This window comes from Homo sapiens, chromosome 22 (genome assembly GCF_000001405.40).
Source record: "Homo sapiens chromosome 22, GRCh38.p14 Primary Assembly".
Classification (NCBI taxonomy): domain Eukaryota; kingdom Metazoa; phylum Chordata; class Mammalia; order Primates; family Hominidae; genus Homo; species Homo sapiens.
The window spans coordinates 40246207-40257554 of NC_000022.11; the positions used below are offsets into that span (position 1 = coordinate 40246207).

Below are 11348 nucleotides of genomic sequence, written 5' to 3' on the forward strand. Positions count from 1 at the left end.
TGAGATGGAGTCTTGCTCTGTCACCTAGGCTGGAGTGCAGTGGCGTGATCTTGGCTCACTACAACCTCCGCTTCCCAGGTTTAAGCGATGCTCCTCTCTCAGCCTCCTGAGTAGCTGGGATTACAGGTGCACGCCACCACGCCTGGCTAATTTTTGTGTTTTTAGTAGAGATGGGGTTTCTCCATGTTGGTCAGGCTGGTCTCAAACTCCTGTCCTCGTGATCCCCCACCTTGGCCCCCCAGAGTGCTGAGATTACAGGTGTGAGCCACTGCACCTGGCCTGAATACCTGATATCCCAATAATGGTACTTGAGACATTTGTTTACTTAAAAGTTTTTATATTTGGAAGTGGGAGAAAGTTCAAGGTCTGCATTTGTTACCATAAAGTAGATGTTAAATAATGCTATGGCTGAGTTTTTGAAAACAACAGTAAACAGTATTACAAAGGCAAGAGAGTTTTCAAACTCTCAACTCTTGTCGTATTTCCTTATTTGTATATTAATTTAATCTATATTTTCTTAAGCAAGCCTATAGAATAGCTTTTAAAAACTGGCTGGAGGTTTGCCCCGGTGTTCTTTTGTTCCACCCACGGTGCTGTTGTCTAGATGAGTCTACCTTGGGAGAATTACAAGTAGAAACCCCTCTCGGAAAGGATCTAGTGAGCCCACGTAGTGCTTTGGAGGATATGGCATTGTGTGGCTTTGAGGAATTGCTTAGAGAAAACAAGAGATGCTAAAAGAAAAAAGGCAAAGGGCCAACGGCTGTCACCTGTCAGGTCTCAGGTGAGCGGTTTGTCCGGCAGAGTTGTCCAAGGCAGAGTGGTTAGAATGTACCTTACCTCCCTGTTTGCCTCAGAGCATGCCCCTCTGCCCTGTCTGTTGTCTGATCTTACCTGTTTCCCCACCTTACCATTCTTTTTGCATCTCTTAACTTGGGCTCTGGCTCAGCAGGGTTGCTTTGGTACCTTTTTTGGAGGTAAGGTGATTTTCTGTCAGGTATTGTTACTGCTATGTAAAGCATTTGGGAAGCAGGGCCTACTGTGGGAAAGGTTCGAGGGTCCCTGCCCTGGTGCTAGTTAATTGAAGCTAAGTTTAGGGAGAAAGAAACTGTGATAAGGTTCAGAGGAAACTCTAGATTTAGAAGACAGTCAAGGCAGTCACACACAAGCCAGTGTAACACTGCACGTTTTTCCAGCATTATTGGATATAGCGTTTCTCATAACTCAATTTTTTGAATTATTGAAATAATAATTTGTGAGTATCAGCATAAGAAAAATTCTGAAAATAGTTTCTGAATTGGATTGCATATGTCCCTGCTATGTTAAATATATGAAATGTAATTTTATCTTTTCTTCATGACTTAATTAAAAGGAACATTCATTATTATTTGGTGCTATAATAGACCGCTGTGCTCTTTAAGATTTTGTCTGCTTTTAATTGTGTTTGTCTCTATTAATAGTGGTATATTCTCCATCACATCTTCATGCAGTCAGGGTACCTGCTTCTAATGTGTTGCTTCTCACCTGAGTTTGTTAGAATTGCCTAAAATTCTGGAGTGAAAAGTCTAAATAAATAAGCCAGATTGCCTGGTGTGGTGGCTCATGCCTGTAATCCCAACACTTTGGGAGGCCAAGGCAGGAGGGATCACTTGAGTCCAGGAGTTCGAGACCAGCCTTGCCAACATGAAAACCCCGTCTCTACCAACAAAAATACAAAAAAAATTAGCCGAGTGTGGTGGTGCACACCTGTGGTCCCAGCTACTTTGGAAGCTGAGGTAGCAGGATCACTTGAGCCCAGGAGGGGGAGGTTGCATTGAGTGGAGATTGCACCACTGCACCCCAGCCTGGGTGACAGAGTGAGATCTTGTGTCTAGAAAAAAAAAAAAAAACCATAGAAGTCAGATAACCCAGAGATGTTTTTGTACTTTCCTTTGCGTCCGTGGCCACATGCCCTGTCACTGAGGTTGCAGTATGCAGGTCCACCAGCTGTGGGTGTTTGTAGCATTGCCCCTGTGGTTTCTGGGTTCTTGTCGCCGTGCCTCGCACACATTGCACCCTCCACCTCCAACTGGAGGGATGTGAGATTAAACCTCAGTGAAAGTTTTCTTTCCTTAGGACACTCACACATTTCCTCTACTAAGTTGATACAAAAATCGGATTTTGCAGTCTATGGAGATGAGTGATTAATAGGCTGGGTACCAAGGTACTTGAGCAAAGGCTGTTAACAAGAGGATGCCAAACAGAGTGATTTAGAGAGTATATATTCCTCTTCATTTTTAACATACATAACAGTGTTTTCTTAAACTACAAATATCAATACCTAAAATGATTAATAAAATATGCCTCTGTAATATGCCTTTGATTGGATTCCACAAAGAAAAATGATTTAAAATAAAGATGGTGTGAATGTACTTGAGAGTGAATGAGATTATTTATGCAGAGAATGTAGTTTATGTAGCTGGACAGTCTCTCCTATGTGCCTTCATCTGCATTAAGAACTGATGAAGAAGTGATAGCAAAGGGGAAAATTACCGTAAATAAAATTTTTAAGTGATTAATTTTATGAACAATAAAAATTCTATCGTTTTTGCTCAAAAATGTTCCAGATCAGCTTGACATAGAATCTAGGCTGACGCAGGCTGATGCGTGGCCTTTGATCTTGTTTTATTATACTGAACCATTGCATAATTTCAGAATTAAATTCTGATTTAGCAGTTTTAAGGAGAGCACAAAGCTTACCATGTGATTATCTTCGTGGTTTCCAACCTTATTGTAGAGACATCACCTCAGCTAGGAGCCATAAAATGTGCTATGATGCAAAGAATCGTGGAGAACGTGCCAGAGATCTATCATGTGGTCAGTGGTTCATTCATTCGGTCCGCAAACATTTGTGGTGCCTCTTCTAAGGGCTTCCACATCTCTCATGCTGCTTTCCCCAGTGCTTTTTGACCACCTCTTTGTGTCCATCTTCACTGTTAGACTGACTGTAAGTTTCTTGGTTTTATTCGTATTTGTATGGCCAGTAACTAGGGCAGTGCCTGGTGCAGGATAATCACTCAGAAATTGTTTAATAAGTGAATGGTCAAGAATGAAGGTGGAAACATAATTTTCTTGAAGAATTGACACTTACTTAAAGCTAAAACTAAATTACCTCCACACAGAAATTAAGCATGAGCCTTTTCCAGTGTTCATTGGTTGTAGCAGTTGGCTCTTCCTGGAGCCATCACTGAGTAAACTGGTAGATACCCATTCATGAGAGAGGTGTCAAAGAAGGGTTCCATTCACATTCATTTAGGCTGATGCTGCTAAAGGAGCATTGTTTAGCGTTGGCAGAACACATGCTTTGATCATCCAGCTTCTCGCCGTCTGGGGGACAGCTTTTAACAGAACCCACATGATAAAACATATTTGACATTATTTGGGCTTGTTGCTTACAATGGGAAGGCACTGACTTCCTGTATAACTGATCTTCAAAATGGCATTCTAAGAAATAGTTACAATGATATAAAACCTAAATTGCCTTCGGGAATTGGTATGTGGCTGCATTGTCATTCATTCTTGGATAAGTAAAGATGTAGAAAAATTACACAAGAATATTTTCAGTAGAATTGAGCTCTGTAACAGTACTGGGAAACATTCATTTTTAAGATGCTGGATTCCACAAATTCACTGTAATAGAATTAGCTTGTCATTTAACACAGGAATGTAGGAAACACACCAGGAAGTTCTACAGGCGGATCCTTTAACTCTTATTTAGAGTCTGATGGTGTGCTGGGATCCATTGCGAGGTGGGCTGGTCAGCTACAGGACCTTCCTTCCAGGGATGATTGTGTTTTTGTGAACCCCCATGGCCGTAATCCAGTACGATTACCAGCCACAAATCATCAGACTTCTTCTTTGCTATATGAATATTTTTATTACAAAAGTCAGATAACCAAGTAAAAATGCTTTAAAAGATTAACAGTTGGGAAAATGGGTCAGAATCACCCACAATCTCAAAAATTTAGTGTAACCACTATTGGAACAATGGCTTAGTTCCTTTTGGATGTTTTGCTTGTGCATCACCTTTGTGGTTTTATTGTTATAAATTAGATGCCCTCCTTTATTTTCCCCTCTTAAAAATATCAGAAGCAGTTTTCTGTAAGGCTCCTAATCATCATTTCCAAACTCTCTGAAGTCCATTACTATGTTCAGCCTGTCCAGCCTTCTAGGTTAATCATTTCCATAGACGTATTAGTTACTATATAAAGAAATACTTTCTTTTTTTTTTAACAAAGCACCCTTGATTTGTCCAAAATTTACATATTTCAATCTTACTGCTGTACTTCATGCTATTTTATATAAGTGTTGATAATAACAGCAAACATTTATTGAGCACTGCATAGCATATCTGATTTAATCCTTACAGCAGTCCTTTGCAGGGTTTATACTATTATTATCTCCATTCAATAGATAATAGAAAACTGGGGGTCTCATAGCCAGAAAGTGACAAGGTTTGGTTTTGAATCCTGCTTTCCGACCATGACGTCTGATGCCTCTGATGATGAGTCCCTGAGGTTTTGCTTTTAGATTTCAGATCAAGTGTTTGTGTCTATACTCATAGGGGAATCTTTTTGTGTCTATGGCTAATTTAGTTTCTGGGCCACATTCATGTGATTTTTCTCTAGTCATAGCATTCAAAATGCAAGTAGCATTCTCAGTGGGACCTCATCGTATAATGAGTGGAATGCTTTTTTTTTTTTTTTTTTAAGTTTTACTATTCTTCCTAATGGTGGTCATGTAAATTATAGCTGGACATATGGCCACAGTCTCTGGAAGGATGTCTGAACTGACTCCCAGCTCCTTTTTCTGGATTTCAGCTATGCCTGTGTGCCTGACAGCTTGGATTACTTGAGTTATCAGACTAAAGTAGTCTGAAAATACAGTACTGAATTAAAAAGCAAATCTCATTTACTTTTATCTGTTTATTTTGCAGGTCACGGAACAAAAAACCAAAGGTAAGATCTTTTTTTTCTTTTTAAATTATTTAGAACCTTTTGTGTTTAGCTTTTACACTGTTGCTGACTCAGCCTCCAATCCACTGAAAAGAGAGTGGGCGTAGAGTAATTAAGGTGGGTTGTTTGCAGTCACTGAGGAGCAGTAATGACAAATTGAAAATACTTGTATTGGTGTTTCTAGTTGGCCTTAAATTTTTTAGGAGTCAAAAGAGTAAATACCTTGTTTTAAAAAGTATATGGGTCATGGCTGGGCACGGTGGCTTACGCCTGTAATCCCAGCACTTTGGGAGGCTGGATCACCTGAGGTCGGGAGTTTGAGACCAACCTGGCCAATATGACTGAGACCCCATCTCTACTAAAAATAAAAAATTAGCCAGACATGGAGGCTCATGCCTGTAATCCCAGCTCCTTGGGAGGCTGAGGCATGAGAATCGCTTGAACCTGGGAGGCAGAGGTTGCAGTGAGCCGAGATCATGCCACTACACTCCAGCCTGGGCAACAAAGTGAGACTCCGTCTCAAAAAAAAAAAAAAGTATATGGGTCATGATTGTGAACTGAACCTTTTCAAAACTTTTTTTAAAGAATAATAGCAAAAAACAAACAACAGCTTTTAATTTACAGATGGGAATTACAGCAGTTTGTCCACCACCTTGACCCATGGCATGCATTGAGTCTGATAATGGAATATTGCACCTAGGATGTTTACTCTGCCTTCTAAGCTAAAACTTAGAATATGCTTTTTTAAAAGATAATACATTTTGAGTAGCTTAACTCTGCTAAAAAATAGTGACATGTTGTAAACAGAAGCAGGTGCCCCTTGGGTCATTCTCAATCTAATAGTCCATGTTGTTTTGGCTTCTTGCTCGCCTGTTAATTTTGATCATGTAGTTTTGTCTGGTGATTGTCACATTTTTGTTCATTTCCCCTTCAGAATGAGAGAATTAATTCTTTGAGATAGCTCCTCTCCTTGCCCACTTAAATATGTGTTTCTCAATTAGGTATGCATAAGAATCATTTGCATAAAATCGTCAAAATATGCAGTCCCAGGCCATGGCCCTAGCAGATGTATTTTGAAAAGCTCTGCAGGTGACCCCAGTACATGTCCCTAGTTGAGAATCACTGCCTTAGATGAAGGGAATTAGATGTGACTGTGATGACTTGGAGGAGGACAGGGGTGACAGGGAGGTCAAGGCTTGATGGGAAGCCCTGTAATGATTGGTTTCTTCATTGTTTTGTTTTGTTTTGTTGGACTACCAGACCAAAGCCTGTCACACAATGATGAAAGAGTAATAAGACAGTGCTAATTTCTTAGGAAACTTAGTTATGGAAAATAAATTCTCGTATGACTAGGCGTTACTATAATAAATTTCTAACCAAAAGACATTTCAAAGGAGAATGTAGTCCGGGAGTTTGTAGTGATGTGTAAAAGAAACCATAATTATTAGTTATAATTAATTGGTTACAGAGAATAGTATCTGCCCTTGTACATTTCCTCAGTTTCAGCCCAGAAGTAGGCTTTATTTTGGAAGGATCTTTGTAAATTACTTGCTTGAAATATAAATGATACTTTACCATAGAAATAGTGTTATGCATACTGGTACAGTGCCCATACTTTCTAAACCAACATACTTTCTAGAAAAGGATTTGGGCACTTAAGTATTTATATTTGTAGGGCTTTTTGATGATTTATGGGGACAGCAGATGAGAAAACTGGCATTTTTTCCTGGATAGTCTAGACTCTGGTTGCTGCAACATGGTGGTTGGGTTCCTAGGCCTGGCCACAAGACTGATGCTTGCAAAGCCAAGTGTTAGTTGTGCTGTAGAACTGAGCTCCTCTGTATGGTAAGTGGTGTTGGGAAACAGAAAATCTGTTAGGCATCTTTTCTTTTTTTTCTTTTTTTCTTTTTTTTTTTTTGAGGCAGAGTCTCGCTCTGTCACCCAGGCGATCTCGGCTCACTGCAAGCTCCGCCTCCCGGGTTCACGCCATTCTCCTGCATCAGCCTCCTGAGTAGCTGGGACTACAGGCACCCGCCACCATGCCCGGCTAATTTTTTTTTTTTTTTGTATTTTTAGTAGAGACGGGGTTTCACCATGTTAGCCAGGATGGTCTTGGTGTCCTGACCTCGTGATCCGCCTGCCTCGGCCTCCCAAAGTGCTGGGATTACAGGTGTGAGCCGCTGCACCCAGCCTAGGCATCTTTTCTTATAGAAAAAATTTGGGAGGGGTACCAGACCTATTCTCAAACACACTCTTCTTTCCTCTACCAGTCTTAAAAATCAAACTTTCCTTTCTACTCACCACCAAATTTTTTTTTTTCCAATTGGGGGCTTTCTCATACCTACTATATAATGAAATACAGTTTCACAGTCTCCCTACTCTCCCTACCTCCCACCACTCCAATCAAAAGATAACATAAAATAATCCTAAAGGGAGGTGAGAGGCCATTTCAGTCTCCTAAGGGATTTAATTGTTAGACAGCAAGTAAAAATACCAGTTGTCCCTGGGGTATGTTAAGACTGTAAACAGAGGGAGGGCCTGACCTTTCTATTGTTGGGTCTAGGTTTACAGCCACATCTTCATCTTTATTCCCAGTAAGCCCACCTTGGTACTGTAAATCTCCTTCTTCTTCTCTTACCTCAGCTGACATGTCTGGGGAACGTGTTCCTTTCCCCAAAGATGGTGTCTTCCTCAGGCAATCTGCCCTTCACTCTGAATCTACCCATCTTTCCCCAACAGTTGCTAGAAGCACAAAGAAAAGACTGTTGGTGCCAAGTCTCTGGTTGTGTAGAGGACTGAAGTGAGATTTTTCTGTATTTCAGAGTAGTAGTGTATTCATTATATATTCTTCCTGTATTCTCCACCATTAAAAAAAACTGTGAGAATTCTGTGAGGAATAGGGTAGAGATTTCAAGTGGAGGTTATGTGAAGACATAGGCTAGAGCTGGCTTGCTACCAGGTATCAAATAATAGAAAGCACTTAAGGTAGAAGCTAATATCCTCCTTCGTTGGATTTTAGAGTAGAACTAAAAGAGTTTGATGGATTGATGTAATCGTTCAGATTTAACAGGGATGAAGTTTAGGATTAAGTTTAGGATTAAAAAGCCCAATTGCGTAGACTATGTAATGGAGGAAGTTGGACATAGATATTGAGCCTTGTTAAAAAGATGTTAGGGGCCAGGCACCGTGGCACAGGCGTGTAATCCCAGCTACTTGGGAGGCTGAGACAGGAGGGTTGCTTGAGCCCAGGAGTTCAAGGCTGCAGTGAGCCATAATTATGCCACTGTACTCCAGCCTGGGCAATGGAGCAAGACCTTGTCTCAAAAACAAAACAAAAAAAGATGTTAGAGTGATGGCTGGCTTTAATGAGAGTTTATCAGCATAAGATGATCTTAAACTGCATTAATAGGCCGAGCGCGGTGGCTCACGCCTGTAATGCCAACACTTTGGGAGGCCGAGGTGGGCAGATCACAAGGTCAGGAGATCGAGACCTTCCTGGCTAACACAGTGAAACTCTGTCTCTACTAAAAATACAAAAAATTAGCCAGGCGTGGTGGCATGTGCCTGTAGTCCCAACTACTCAGGAGGCTGAGGCAGGAGAATCGCTTGAACCTGGGAGGCAGAGGTTGCAGTGAGCCAAGATCATGCCATTGCACTCCAGCTGGGACAACAGAGCGAGACTCTGTCTCAAAAAAAACAAAAACAAACAAACCTGCATTAATAGACATACAGTATCCAGGAAGGGATTTACACTTCCTGCACCACACTATGAAAAGGAACAGAGAGCAACCTCCATGGACCTTGTGGAGTTCGGGCCAGATTGGGCAAGGAATTTGTCAACTCAGGAAGGTTTAAACACCTGGGTTCGTTGAGCTCCCAGGGAAGGGCTTCCTGCTTGGGGAACCTCAGGTAACTGTCTTCAAAAATTTGAAGGGCTCTAGTGTCTGACACTTAACAGTTCCTTGGTAATTATCTGTCAGATATTTTGTTCAGTGAAACTTACTCTTCAGATAGCACCAATGGTGAGTCAAAGCCAACAGGGAAAAGCTTCTAGCTCAGTAGAAGTTAAATTTTTTAGGTGTTGTCCTTTGCCACTGGGACACAGCTGAGAGCAGCACCTTCTCCATCAGCATAGCTGGGGTTATGGGCCATCGCAGGACGTTGGCTACCACTCTTTGTTTTGAGCCTATTTCAGAAGGCATAGTACAGTGAGTACAGGGTAACCTTGAGTCTACTCTCATTTATTAATATTGGAGGGGTCCCCTCCATTAAATAATTTATAAACTACTTACAGCACCCCTCACACCTTGTAGAAACACTGTGTGTTCTAACACAGTGGTGGGGAGCCACTTGTTCAGAGGTGGAACTGGCTGCCCCTAAGAGAGTGAATGAACGTGAGGTATTACAAGACATGTGGCTCCAATAAATTGGCATGAAAATAGTCCAAATAGGAGGTAATGAGGACTTGAACCCGATTAGGAGGCCAGGTGTTTAAACCTTCCTGAGTTGACAAATTCCTTGCCCAATCTGGCCCGAACTACACAAGGTCCATGGAGGTTGCTCTCTGTTCCTTTTCACAGTGTGGTGCAGGAAGTGTAAATCCCTTCCTGGATACTGTATGTCTATTAATGCAGGTGTTTGTTTGCTTGTTTGTTTGTTTGTTTGTTTGTTTTGAGACAGAGTCTTGCTCTGTTGCCCCAGCTGGAGTGCAATGGCATGATCTTGGCTCACTGCAACCTCCGCCTCCCAGGTTCAAGCGATTCTCCTGCCTCAGCCTCCTGAGTAGTTGGGACTACAGGCACATGCCACCACGCCTGGCTAATTTTTTGTATTTTTAGTAGAGACGGGGTTTCACTGTGTTAGCCAGGAATTGAGAGAGGCTTTAGTTTAACTTAATATTGATTGGATAATGATATGTGGGTGGGGGAACATTGAGAAGTCTAAGATACCAAGCAGGTTTCTGACTTGAGCAGCTGGTTCGGTGATAAGTTCATTCTTTGAGGGTGAAGAAATGAGATTGGGGCTAGGAAACAAGTTTGAGAGGAAGGGAAAGATGATAAGTGGTAGTTAAAGCCAGAGCATGGAAGAGTTTGTACTCAAGGAACTGAAATGTGGAAAGGGTGCAGACCCTATTGTCACATTGATTTTGTTTTGTTTTGTTTTGTTTTTAAGCCACTACTTATGGCCAAATTCATTTGCCATTCTCCAGTCAAAAGCCAGGATTGCCATTATGGCCGTGGACAAAGTTGGCCTCACTGCCAACTTTTTTGTACTGCCCATGAGCTAAGAATATTTTCTACGTTTTTTAATTTATTGGAGAAAAAATGGGGACAATATTTCAAGACGTGAAAATGACAGGAAATTCATATTTCACTGTCCGTAAATAAAGTTTTATGGGAGCACAGCCACACTCATATGTTTACACATTGTCTATGGTGCTTTGGCCCCACAAGTGCAGAGTTGAGTTGTTGTGATGAAGACCATATGGCCAGTAAACCCTAAAATATTTACTATCTGGCCCTTTACAGAAAGTTTGCTGATCCCCCCTGATCAAGAGTAGGAGAAGCCCACACAGGAAGAGGAAAGGAAGAGCTGAAGCACTAGCTGGAGCACGTCTCACAGAAATGGGAGGGAGGGAATGACGAGTGGTGTCAGAAGCTGCAGAAAAACCAAAGAAGGAAAGGTCCAAGATGGGCTGGTTAGACTGGCAACAAAGATCACTAGTGACTTATGAGGAAAGAAACTTCCAGGGAGATGTTCAAGGCAAAAGCCAGTGTGTGTTGGGTTGAGGAGGGAGTGGAAGGTAAAGAAATAGAGGCAGTGCTGAGAGGTTACTGAAAATTGTTCAGTACACATTGACCGCTCACTGCATGTCATCAGATTTAAAATGTTCAGCCTAGAATATCTTTTCTAGGCCTTGTTTGTATTTTAACTACTACTTTAAAAACATTTCTAGGTCATTCTTTTTTATGTTTGATACCATTGAGATAGTTAAAGGAAATAATAGTTTGTACTAGTTCTGTGCAGCTGCTGTGTTCAGAACCCTGCCTGGTTTGGAAGTTTCTTAAAGAGCACTTTTATCTGAAAAAGTAGCATCTAATTGGAGTTTTCAGAAATAGGGGCAATTGGAAGTTTAAACTGTGAGATACAAGAATGGAATAAGAAAAATGGGATGAGGAAGGGGAGGAGATTCAATTATTAGAGCACGTAAATGGTTCTTAAAAGAAAATGAATGGAGGACGGGCACGGTAGCTCATGCCTTTTATCCCAGCACTTTGGGAGGCTGAGGCAGGTGGATCACCTGAGGTCAGTAGTTCGAGGCCAGCCTGGCCAACATGGTGAAACCCCGTCTCTACT

At 41.4% G+C, this 11348-nt stretch overlaps 1 protein-coding gene across 3 annotated transcripts in view; it reads left to right on the forward strand.

The window, feature by feature from the left end:
* Positions 1–11348, forward strand: part of TNRC6B (trinucleotide repeat containing adaptor 6B) — a 290975-nt gene that overhangs the window by 201373 nt on the left and 78254 nt on the right. For all 3 annotated transcript variants that reach the window (NM_001024843.2, NM_001162501.2, NM_015088.3), the window contains one exon: positions 4973–4994. In NM_001024843.2, the coding sequence (NP_001020014.1) occupies positions 4973–4994 (22 nt within the window). The remainder of the gene's footprint in view (positions 1–4972; positions 4995–11348) is intronic.